Source organism: Homo sapiens, chromosome 22 (genome assembly GCF_000001405.40).
Source record: "Homo sapiens chromosome 22, GRCh38.p14 Primary Assembly".
In the NCBI taxonomy this organism is placed as follows: Eukaryota; Metazoa; Chordata; class Mammalia; order Primates; family Hominidae; genus Homo; species Homo sapiens.
The window spans coordinates 32,436,973-32,449,915 of NC_000022.11; the positions used below are offsets into that span (position 1 = coordinate 32,436,973).

Here is a 12,943-nt window from a genome sequence, read left to right on the forward strand (position 1 = left end):
AAACATAACCACAATGATTGTTTTTCCATGATCAGTGAACACTAATGCCACGTGCTTATGGCCCTGACAGAGGTCAGCAGCCCTCAGTTAAATCCACTAACCTGAACACTTAGGAATGGAAGTGCCAACGTGTACCAGCTACTGATGTGTTTAGTTCCAATAAATGCAGACTGCTCTACTTGCTGCCTCCTAGCCTCAAACCTACTCCTAGGGGCAAAGACATATGATCCTTCTCCTGAAGAGGGCAGACATATGTTGTACAATACAATCATTTGCTTATCAATAAAACGTTCAAGAGTCTTTTGAAAAGGTGTAAACATGAGGCAGTTGCTTGAAAGAAAATTAAATTATTCCAAGAGCATGTATATAGATTTCCTTCTGTACAGAATCATTGTTTTTTGTTTTTGTTTTTGTTTTCATTTTGTTTTGTTTTTTTGAGATAGAGTCTTGCTCTGTCACCCAGGCTGGAATGCAGTGGTATGATCTCGGCTCACTGCAACCTCTGCCTTCCAGGTTCAAGCAATTCTCCTGCCTCAGCTTCCCAAACAGCTGGGAATGCAGCTGTGTGCCACCACACTGGCTAATTTTTTGTGTTTTTAGTAGAGACGGGGTTTCACCATGTTGGCCAGCCTGGTCTCAAACTCCTGGCCTCAAGTGATCCACCTGCCTGGGCCTCCCAAAGTGCTGGGATTACAGGTGTGAGGCACCGTGCCCAGTCCATAATCATTGTTTTCTAAATATTGGCTGTTGACAGCCAGGCTGAGGATTCTGATGATGATAAAGTTACCTTCAAGTTCAGGTCAAGGTAGTTCTCAGTAATTTCTGGAGAACTGATTAGGGAGTAATCCAGCAGAGTGTAGTTGTCAATCTTGGTTAAAACTAAATAACCAACAAAGAAAAAAGAAAATCCATATTCATTAAAGGCATAGTATAATATATGAATGATGTCTATCTAGAACAATATAATTTTAAATTCTCTGTTTAAAAGATCAATTCCTGCTTTTCAGAAGTAATACATGTTATCTTTTGAAAACCCAGGAAAAGTAGATAAATCAAAAGAAGAAAGTGAACATTTTTTCCAAGTGTATTACTCTGAGAGAAGCATCACTAAAATTTTGGTGTGCAGTGGTCCCCCTTATCTGCAGGGCATATGTTCCAAGACCCCAGTGGATGCCTGAAAGTGTGGACAGTACCAACCCCTACATACACTGTAATAAAAGGAATGTGAATGTGAATGTGAATGTGGTCTCTCTCTCTCTCTCTCAAATTCACATTGAGATATTAAATATTTTTAAACCACGGTTGACCACGGATAACTGAAACTGCAGAAGGCAAAACTGCAGATAAGGGAGGACTACTGTATATCTTTTTAGGTATACACACATACAAACACACAAAATGCATGTATAGTTTTGTTTTTTGTTTTTTGTTTTTTTTGAGACAAAGTCTCACTCTATCACCCTGACTGGAGTGCAGTGGTACAATCTCAGCTCACTGCAACCTCTGCCTCCTGGGTTCAAGCAATTTTCATGCCTCAGCCTTCCTAGTAGCTGAGATTACAGGCACCCACCACCACACATGGCTAATTTTTGTATTTTTAGTAGAGACAGCGTTTCACCATGTTGGCCAGGCTGGCTTCGAACTCCTGACCTCAAGTCATCCACCCACCTTGGCCTCCCAAAGTACGGGGATTACAGGAGTGAGCCACCACACCCAGCCCTATATAGTTATTTTTTAAAAAGGAAATTAGTACAAACACAAAACTCATATCAATATTTAGAGATATGTATTGGCTTGGTATAATGAAAGACTCTTCAGTTTGATGTTATAAATTGCAGTTAGAACTTTTTTTTTTTTAACAAGGAGTATGCTTTACTGTTGTCATTAGAAATATTTTTAGAAACAGATTGTGTGAGAGAAAATAAAGTCCACTAAATTGGAGAGGCCAAGGAGATTCTTAGGCACAGTGCTGCTAATCCAAATAATTTTATGTATTATCATTTTCAGAATAAAGCAGAAGTCAAGGGGACCAGGGTGCAGTGGTGGGTGAAGTTCCAGAAAGCACAGATTGGGCTGGGTGTGGTGGGTCACGCCTGTAATCCCAGCACTTTGGGAGGCTGAGGTGGGCGGATCACCTGAGGTCAGGAGTTTGAGACCAGCCTGACCAACACGGAGAAACCCCATCTCTACTAAAAATACAAAATTAGCAAGGTGTGGTGGCACGCGCCTGTAATCCCAGCTACTTGGGAGGCTGAGGCAGGAGAATCTCTTGAACCCAGGAGGCGCAGGTTGCGGTGAGCCAAGATTGTGCCATTGCACTCCAGCCTGGGTAACAAGAGCGAAACTCCGTCTAAAAAAAAAAAAATAAATGAAAGCACAGATTTTAGTCTCTGAAGCTAGTTGTATGTGCAGTGACTCAGGGCTCAGGTTTCCCACTCGGCTTTGGAGAGCTGCTTTCCTGACCACCATTATGTGTTCTACAATATGAAGACCTACTCCCTGTTCTAGAGAAAGTTACCTGAGCATCATGTCTTCTCTTTTCTTGCATGTCATAGATGGAGATGAAAAGCAAGAAGAGATGAAGTATCTTGCTAAGATAAAGGAATAATATTATCCTAAGCCACCATAGTTTTTATTTTTTATTTTTCACTTTTTTTTTTGAGACAGAGTCTTGCTCTGTCACCCAGGCTGGAGTGCAGTGGCACAATCTTGGCTCATTGCAACCTCTGTCTCTCGGGTTCAAGTGATTCTCCTGACTCAGCCACCCAAGTAGCTGGGATTACAGGCCTGCGCCACCACCTCTGGCTAATTTTTGTATTTTTAGTAGAGACAGCATTTCACCCTGTTGGCCAGGCTGGTCTTGAACTCCTGACCTCAAGCGAGTTGCTCGCCTCAGCTTCCCAAAGTGCTGGGATTACAGGTGTGGGCCACTGTGCCTGGCCATTGCCACAGTTTTTAAAATACTTTCAAGTTGTTACTCTGAGGGACAGCAATCATTTCACAGATGTGGTGAGTGAGGCTCAGAGGTAAAGGAACTTGCTCAAGGAAAGCTAGAACATGGTGATCCTTGGCTACTTCTTTCCTCACTACATCTTGTTTTCCTTCCCTACATCTCCAATCCATTCATTTTCTTTCATCCATCTGCATCCATTTATCAGTCTAATATATATATTTTTTGAGACAAGATCTCACTTTGTCACCTAGACTGGATCTTGGCTCACTGCATGATCTTGGCTCACTGCAGCCTCAACCTCCTGGGCTCAAGTAATCCTCCTACCTCAGCCTCCCTGTAGCTGGGACTAAAGGCGCACGCCACCATGCCTGGCTAATTAAAAAAAAATTTTTTTTATATAGAAACAAGGTCTCACTATGTTGCCTAGGCAGGTCTTGAACTCCTGACCTCAAGCAATCCTCCCACCTTGGCCTCCCAAAGTGCTAGGATTACAGGAGTGAGCCACTGCGCCTGATATTTCTTAATCTAATGGGCTAGGTGCTGTGCCTGACGCTGGGGGCACAGCGGTGAGTCAAAGTTCCTGCACCCAAGGAACTCATAGTCTTGGGGAGTAGACAGATATATCAACAGGAAATTATAATACAACACAGCAAAGGCTGATCTAAACTGGGCTCCTGATGATCCTGCTACAAACTTGTTCTTAGGTTCTTTCCCATCTCAATAAATGCTAAATCCCTTCTTCCAATTTTCCAATTGCTTAGGGTTTTACCCACCAAAGTCACCCTTCACTCTTCTCCTGACCTACATTTGATCTGTTGCACAAAAACCACTGTCTTGACCTTCAAGGTACATCCAGAATCCCAACATGCCTTACCATCTTCATCACCCCACCCTAGGCCGGCCACCATCATTAATTGTATGGGTCACTGCACTCATCTCTTAAGTAGTCTCTTTGCTTTTGCCCTTGACCCCCTTCCTTCCTGTCTATTTTTTTTAGCACAGAAGCCAGACCGATCTCCTTAAACTGTAAGTTAAGTCATGCCGGCCTTACTCTTCAAAGGCATCCCATCTTAGATTAAGAGGTGGACTTTGCAGTCCCTACACATCCCTGAAGATCAAACCATCCCCTCTTCCCCATCTCTGGCCTCATTGCCTGCTCTCCCCCAACCCCCTGCTCCTAGTGTGTCCTTCTCACAGCCTCCCCAGCACACTTGAGATATTCAGCCTCAGGGTTTTTGTGCCTGCAGTTTCCTCGATCTGGAATCTTCATCTAGATTGAGCAGCAGCTCACTTTCTACTCCCTTTGGGTTTTTCTAGTAATGCCACCTGCTCAGTGGTGGCTTTCCTGGTCACTCTATCTAGAATGGAAATTCCTCTCCACCTCCTCCACTGCTTTATTTTTCTTCTTACCACTTATCACTGCCATAACTTAGATTTTACTTGTTTATCTTGCTTGCTGTCTGTCTCCTCCCACTACTCCCATGACGGCAGGTATGTCTGTTGCCTGGGAATACTGCTGCATCCCCAGCACCAAGAACAGTGCTCAGGCTATTTCAGGTGCTCAGCGCGCCATTGGTGAATGAATGGATGGAGTGCAAAGTGAGAGAGAGATGTCCAAAGTGTCATGTGAGCACAGAGGAGGCATAACTTTACGGAGTGGGGGCTGTCAGGTAAGGTTTCCTGGAAGAGGCTATGTCTGAGCTGGGTCTTAAATATAAAGAGGAGGGAACACAACATATAAAGAGAGATAGAGAACGGAAAGGATTAAATCCTCCAGGGTTTAGCACAGTGCTGGCTAAACTCTGCAGGTTTAGAAATGGGCACTCAATATGTATCTGTTAAAGCAGCGGTCCTCAACCTTTTTAGCACCAGGGACCAGTTTAATGGAAGATGATTTTTCCATGGCCTGGGGTTGGGGGGGATGGTTTCGGGATGAAACTGTTTCACCTCAGATCATCAGGCATTAGATTCCCATAAGGCACATGCAACCTAGATCCCTCGCATGCACGGTTCACAATAGGGTTCGCACTCCTATGAGAATCTAATGCTGCCACTGATCTGACAGGAGGCAGAGCTCAGGCAGTAATGCTCAGTCGCCTGCCCACTGTTCACCTCCGGCTGTGCAGTCCAGTTTCTAACCTGTCTGTGGCCCAGGGACTGGGGACTCCTGGGTTAAAGGAATGAAAGGATGGAGGAGAGAGGAAGCTCTTCCAGGCAGAGAAAACAGCAAAAGCAAAGGCAAGGGGTGAGGAGGGCAGTGGAAACAGTTTGATTGCTGGGGCAGAGAAAGGTAAAGAGAAAGATGAAGCAGAGAGAGGTAAGTAGGAGATGGGGTGTGGTGAATCTTGTAGTCCATGCTAAGGTGCGAGGACTTGATGCTCAGGGCAGCCACTGCAGGCTGAGAACCCCAGAATAACCTGGTCAAGATCAGTGTTAATCCCTCTGAAGAGAAGGGATGTAATGTCACTGCTTGGGTTCGTGCTCGTGAGGGTTTAGTTCCTGAACCTACATCTCATCCCCCTGGAGCCACCCCTCTTGTGGCAGTGAAGTTAGTTATTAGCCAAAGAGTACATATGCCCTAAGCACAAGGCACATCCTCCCAAGCACCTTCCCGGGGCTCTAATTTGCAGAATATGAAGCAGGATGGATAGCTCAAGCTATACCGCCTTGAAAAGCAAACCCAGGCAGTACCAGCTTTTGAAGGTAGGAAGACAACCATCTGGAAAAGACAGTTCTAAGACTCACCCTCCAGTGTGCTGAGGTTGGCATTTAGCGCTTTGACTTCACTTGCAATAATGGGACAGAGCTGGCCACAAAGGAATAAAAAGAAAAAAGCAAGTTACCATGTTGTACTGGAAAGCCTTATTGATGGGCCTAGACCCTGCAAACAAAGGCCTTCTGGTTAGCAGTCATTATCCCTTTGGTCATCGAGACATTCTCTTAAATTTGTTGATGTCTATGGGCCTCGCTTTACGTAGATACGGGTGGTATGTCACTGAATGCCAGCTGAACTTTGTAGCAACTAGCACTACATCCAATCAGCCCTGTAAAGAGTGAGTGAGCCCTTGTCGTTTCTTTCTGTGACATGATAGGGCATGCGTCCCAGTCCATGCTGTTATACCCGAGGAACCTGCTGCTGGAGCTGCTGTATCTTTCCTGACTGCTGGGGGTGCCGCCAGCTTGCCATCTCCTCTAGGAGCGGTTGCATGCCCTACCTGGAATGGTTAGAGCTGGAGCTTTTTTTTTTTTTTTTTTTGAGACGAAGTCTCGCTCTGTCACCCAGGCTGGAGTGCAGTGGCGCGATCTCGGCTCACTGCAAGCTCCGCCTCCCTGGTTCATGCCATTCTCCTGCCTCAGCCTCCTGCGTAGCTGGGACTACAGGCGCTCGCCACTATGCCCGGCTAATTTTTTGTATTTTTAGTAGAGACGGGGTTTCACCGTGTTAGCCAGGATGGTCTCGATCTCCTGACCTCGTGATTCACCCGCCTCGGCCTCCCAAAGTGCTGGGATTACAGGCGTGAGCCACCGCGCCCGGCCCCAGAGCTAGAGCTTTTACTTTCCCCCTGGGCTAGTTGGAGAGCACATTATATCAGAGATCTACTTAGAGATCTATTTTGTTGCCACCTTTTTGGAATTTGAAAATTAGTCTTGAGTCACATTAATATTTTTAGGAAGGGGCAGAGGTATCAGCACTGATGTGCCTCTTGTGTGCTCATTGATGTGCTTGGCATAGTGGGTACAGCACAGGCTTGGCTGCCTGGGGCCGAGGGTTGAATCCCTTGGCAAGTTACTTGTATTCTTTGATCTCAGTTTCCACATCTGCAACATTTGCATGGGGATGATAATTGTGTCCACCTCATCACATTGTGAGTAGAAATGGAAGTAATCCATGTAAACTTGCCCAGCTTATAGTAAGCATTGAGTAAGTGTTAGCCGTTGTTAGTTTAACTCCATTTCACCTTCACTACAGCCTTGAGAGGGAGGCATGACGGTCCCCTAATTACAGATGGGAAAACCAAAGCTTAGAGAGGTTAAGTGAGTTGCCAGGTGTTGCATAGCCGGGATTTGAACTCAGTTTACACAGCTAGACAGCTGTGGTCTCAGCATTCTTTTCTATCTTCCAGTGGCACAGAGAGAATCACAGAAACATCTATTATCTTTAAGCCATAAATCAATTTCAGGCAAACTTAATTATTGGCTTCTGTGACATAACTCATTCTTCACTGGCCTCCTGTCAGAGGCAAAAGGACCGTGCCTCGTTTCAAACAGGGGAATGATCAAGTTTGGGGTCCTTGAGGATGACAGTGCACTTTGCCAGGGACTCTAATATGCACACTCATTGGCACTCAGCATCTGTCAGGTAAGGATGGAGAAGGACTATAAGGCTTCTGAGTCCTGGACAGCTGCGCCACCTCCTGGGATGAGCTGCTTGATGCTTCTGAGTGTTGATTTCCTTACGACTTTCATTAAGCACCTATAATGTCTGTCAAGCACCGAGCTGAGCACTAGAGAGATGGACGTGACCAGACCCTGTCTTTGTCCCTTCTTTTCCAGAAGAGTCTTCCTTCTTTTCTATTCCTCCTCATCCCTGTCCTTATCTCCCCCAAAATACAGGTAAACGGTTCAGGGAAGGTGTGGTCATTATTGGAAAGAGAGTGCATAGACAATTCCATCTTTCCCTTCTTCAGACACTGACTTCTGAGACTAGAAGCCTTATAGCTTTGGAAAGGATCTTAATATATTCTATTTTCTTAACTTATTCCTATTGTATGTCCTGGAAATACCTCTTCTTATCCTTCATTCCTTACATATACAAATCCTACCTATATGTTAAGATCTAGTTCAAGTTCTGCATCCTGTAAAAATTATCTCCCAGGACACTTCCAGGCCCTATTTCTTCAAAATTTTCCATTTCTCTGAACCTCTCCTGCTCAATCTAATGATCGTGTAACTGTATACTAAATTCAAGTACTCAGTTAGTTATTGTTTCACAAGCCCGAGTTTGAGCTTTTGAATACACAAGTGTATCCCTCTGTCCTATTCCCAACAGATCCTAGTCCATGGCAGCTGAGCATGCAATAGGTACATAATAAGTAAATTCTTGTTGGTTGTTTGCCCACCCTATGGTAAGAAATTTGAGAGATGTGCTGTTGCTTTCTTTATCTCTGCATCCCAAGCACCTACCACAATATTTGGCACATAGTAGGGATTTGAGAAACTGTTATTAAGTTGCAAAGGATATTTAATGTGTGTGAAAGTGCCTTGGATAGTGCCTAGCACACAGTAGATGCTCAATAAAGGTTTCTTGATTAAGAATTAATTAAAGGATTGGCCAGGCGCGGTGGCTCATGCCTGTAATCCCAACACTTTGGGAGGCCAAGGTGCGCGGATCACGAGTTCAGGAGATCAAGACCATCCCGGCCAACACAGTGAAACCCCGTCTCTACTAAAAATACAAAAAATTAGCCGGGCATGGTGGCGGGCACCTGTAGTCCCAGCTACTTGGGAGGCTGAGGCAGGAGAATCCCTTGAACCCAGGAGGCGGAGCTTGCAGTGAGCGGAGATCGTGCCACTGCACTCCAGCCTGGGCGACAGAGCGAGACTCTGTCTCAAAAAAACAAACAAACAAACAAAAAAGAATTAATTAAAGGATGATAGAACTTCTACTAATGGCATTTTACTGTGGTTGCCTAACCTCTAAAGACTCACCATTTCATTTAAGTTCTTTAAAATGGGTTTCTCCATGGGCTCAGCAAAGGAGTTATACAGAACACTGAGGAAAAAAATGAAAAAAAAAAAAAAAAAAAAAAGAGGTTACTCAGAGACCATAATCAGCCATTTGTAAACCTTCCCTAGGCGATGCCTGAGTATCCAGCCCCTAACTAGCCACTGCCCAACCCAGGGCTCTCATTCACCTGAGTTCTCCGGAAAATGAGACGTGGGCATGGCTCAGTTGGGCGTAGCAATCTTGGAGCTTCAGGGTAGGATGACCAAAGTCATTTCGGGTTAGGATAATGATACCGGTAAAGTAGACTCCGGAGAGAAACAGATCAGCCCCTCCTGTGTCTTGGCTGTTTAAAGAAGTGCAAGGTTATCCAAGCCTGAGTCAGGCACAGAGATGGATCTTGTTTCTCTGATTACCCAGAGACTCTAAGCTCCTGGACTGCAGTGACTTTGTCATGTTCACCTCTGACTTCCTTGCACCTACAACAGGTAGGAGCAGAGTGGGTGCTGATTGAATATTCCCAGAACAGACGAAGTACTGAATATGTGAAAGCTAACAGCTATTGGGATATTCTAATTATTTCACCCTGAGTGCTCTGGCCCTGGCAGCGAGTGAGCTTGTATTGAGCACCCTTCATATACAATGTTTGTTTGGGGAGAGAAAAGAAAGGGCAAGACTGGCAACACTTTATTCAGGAAGGGCATAGATGAAAAAGTGATGCTTAGATGTAGTCTGTGAACTCCTTGAGGGAGTGGATTGTGTGTTACTCATTTCCATGTCCCCAAGACTTAGCATGTGGCCTGACACAGAGTAAGTACTCAGCATATGGTTGATGAGTCATTGAATAAATGAATGAATACATGAATCTATGTTGCTGTGGGGAACGTGTCATTTCTCTACAATCTACAAGACTGGAGTTCTTTAGATGGGGATAAATGTTACACAGCAGGCACTCAATAAATGGTTGTTGACTGACTTAGTGGAAGAATGAATGTGTTATCCTGTGGCACCAACCAAGGCAGACCTAAACATTACACCCAGAACAGTGATTTACACATTGCAACTGGCCTGTAAAAGTACCTTGAATCTGATTTCCTCCTTCTACACGAGGGTGCAAAGGCCTTCCAGTTGGGCTCAGGCTTAAGCTGACTACCATTCTTCAACCTCTGTGTGAGGGAGAAAGACTCCATTTCCCATCACTTACTCCTGCAGATGGGGAAGTGTGTTGAATGGCTGGCTCAAGATCATGCAGTGATTTGTGGGTGATCGAAAATGTTGAGCATGCATCTGTTTCTCTGATAGTCAGGGACTTCTAGTTCTTAAGAGAATCTTAAATGACATTTGATCATATGCTCTGCCTTTAAGAGAAGAATGTTTTTCATCAAAACCCCCCAGTAGGATTTCCTAATTTAAGCCTCACCTGGAAAAAAATGCTTTTGAGAAAGATTGTTAATAATGAGGGAAAGAAGCCTATTGCCAAAAACATTGGTGAATTTCTACATTTTCCGTTTTTGCTCACATTCTCCCAGAACAGCTGCAGACATTTCAGTGGAATACTCACAAAAGTGGAGACTCGAACCCCCAGTCTGTGCTGATGTTGGCAGTGCCATGGTTGGTTAGCGCTTTGATTCCCACTCCAGGCACAAAAGCCAATGAGGTATTTGGAAATGAAAAGGCACTGATTTTTATACTGTAAAACCAGAAACAAGAAGTTAGGGCGACTCTTCCAGCACATCTCTTCAGTCAAGCAAACTTGGGAACACAGTTGCAGAGCTCTTACCATTGAGGCCATTGTGAACTCCTACAGAGAAAAGAACCTCCTGTCTGCAAGGCTGTCTCTGGGGAACTGCCTCCTAATTCTCCTCAAACTCTTACCAGGAAGTCCCTTGAATCCAGTTGATGAGGGAAATGAGCAAGTTTAGAAATATATATGTAATTTTTCTTCTCTCTCGCTCTCTTTTTTTTTTTTTTTTTGAGACAGGGTCTCATTTGTCTCCCAGGTTGGAGTGCAGTGGTGTGATCATAGCTCACTGCAGCCTCGAACTCCTGGGCTCAGGTAATCCTCCTGCCTCAGCTTTCCAAACAGCTGGGTCTACAGGCATGTGCCATCACACTTGGCTAATATTTTTTATTTTTTTTGTAGAGGCAGGATCTCACTGTGTTGCCCAGACTGGTCTTGAACTCCTGGCCTCCAGCAAGCCTCCTGTTTCAGCCTCCCAAAGTGTTGGGATTACAGGCATGAGACACCTCGCCTGGCCTAGAAATATATTTGTAAATAATCAAACAATCTACTTGTTTAGCTTATTTAAAGACAAAAAAAAGGCACAACATTGCCATCATTATTTTTCCTTCAGCAGTTCCAGTGTTTCACGAAAGGGGTGATATTTGTATTTTGCACGGCCCAGCTATTTTTTTTCTTTTTTCTTTTTTTTTTTTGAGACAGAGTCTCGCTCTGTCACCCAGGCTGGAGTGCAGTGGCACGATCTCAGCTCACTGCAATCTCCGCCTCCTGGGTTCAAGGGATTCTCCTGCCTCAGCCTCCCAAGTAGCTGGGACTACAGGCGCATGCCACCACACCTGGATAATTTTTTGTATTTTTAGTAGAGACGGGCTTTCACCATGTTAGCCAGGATGGTCTTGATCTCCTGACCTGACCTCGTGATCTGCCCGCCTCGGCCTCCCAAAGTGCTGGGATTATAGGCGTGAGCCACTGTGTCCAGCCCTTGGCACAGCTATTTTTGTAGAGGACTATCATACACATTACAGGACATTTGGTGCATATGCCAGTAGTGTCCCTCCCCACCTGTCATTGGGACAATCAGAAACGTGCCTTCCTCCTATTTCCAAATGTCCTCTATGTGGACAGTATCTTTGCTAGTGGAGAAACTTAGAGAGTTGACTTCCCCTAGGATTCTCTGGGCTGTCAAAAGGGTAACTAGGAGGCAGTGAGTTGCATGTAACCTGCAAAGGTAGATGGCCACATGCATTATAAGAAATTATTATGAACAGCTGGGCGCGGTGGCTCACGCCTGTAATCCCAGCACTTTGGGAGGCCGAGGCGGGCAGATCACAAGGTCAGGAGTTCGAGACCAGCCTGGCCAACATAGTGAAACCCCGTGTCTACTAAAAATATAAAAATTAACCGGGTGTGGTGGCATGTGCCTGTAGTCCCAGCTACTTGGGAGGCTGAGGCAGGAGAATCCCTTGAACCCAGGAGTGGAGGCTGCAGTGAGCCGAGATCGCCCCACTGCACACCAGCCCGGGTGACAGTGTGAGACTTCGTCTCAAAAAAAAAAAAAGAAATTATTATGAATATCTATTGAGTGGTTGCTACCTGCCAGGCATTGTGGTAAGTGCATTACACGCATTAGCTCATTTTAACTCTCACAGTAATCCTATGAGGTGGTTGCTGTTTTTGCAATCCCCATTTCAAAGATAAGAAGATAAAAAAAGTGGCTGAAGTCATATATAAGTGGCAGAACCAGACCTGGAACCCTCCTCAGTCTGACTTCAGACTCTTCACCACGAGGCTATGCCACTTCACATATTGTGCAAAGAGTGCTTGACTTGGAGCCAAGTTTAGTACCAGCTGTAAAAACTTGGGCAAGGCGCTTAACCAGATTCAATCACTCAAAAGAAGTGCTACTCACAGGTAGGGGCGGGGAGACAAAATGACTTCATTTGTGTATAATTACTGCACCCAAGAAAGGGATTGTTGTGAATGAAGATGAAGAAAAATTTAAAACATAAATGTGATAGCTGATAAGAAACAATTATTTGCTAATAATATTTCCTCTTCTATGCATCCTTTCCTACCTAGTCTCTGTCACGCATCCTGAGTCCCACTGTGGGAAGAGGATGGCAGAGATTCATTTACTATATCTTGGAAATATTTTCATTTTGATACATGCAGGTCTAACCAATTCTTTATAACTGCTGCAGAGTATTTCAAACTGTGGATGGATGTACCATTTCAAAAAAATCATTCCTATGTTGGTGGACATCTAGGTTCTTTCTAGCACTTCTGTATTATATACAATGTCACAGTGAACATCCTCATACATACTGCTTGTGTACATGTACTTCTCTTTTTTTCTTTTTTGAGATGGAGTTTCACTCTGTCGCCCGGGCTGGAGTGCAGTGGCATGATCTCGGCTCACTACAAGCTCCGCCTCCCGGGTTCACGCCATTCTCTTGCCTCAGCCTCTGGAGTAGCTGGGACTATAGGCGCCCACCACCATGCCCGGCTAATTTTTTGTACTTTT

General features: G+C 44.8%; 1 protein-coding gene across 6 annotated transcripts in view; it reads right to left on the reverse strand.

The window, feature by feature from the left end:
• BPIFC (BPI fold containing family C) overlaps positions 1–12,943 on the reverse strand; it is a 50,602-nt gene that overhangs the window by 23,128 nt on the left and 14,531 nt on the right. For 4 of the 6 annotated variants that reach the window (XM_017028740.2, NM_174932.3, XM_011530090.2 and 1 more), the window contains 5 exons: positions 10,240–10,368; positions 8,869–9,024; positions 8,663–8,726; positions 5,699–5,759; positions 788–879 (listed from right to left, as the gene is read on the reverse strand). In XM_017028740.2, coding sequence (XP_016884229.1) covers positions 788–879; positions 5,699–5,759; positions 8,663–8,726; positions 8,869–9,024; positions 10,240–10,368 — 502 coding nt within the window. Of the gene's footprint in view, positions 1–787; positions 880–5,698; positions 5,760–8,662; positions 8,727–8,868; positions 9,158–10,239; positions 10,660–12,943 lie in introns of those variants that run through there. The other 2 variants (XM_047441303.1, XM_047441302.1) reach the window with 2 other exon arrangements.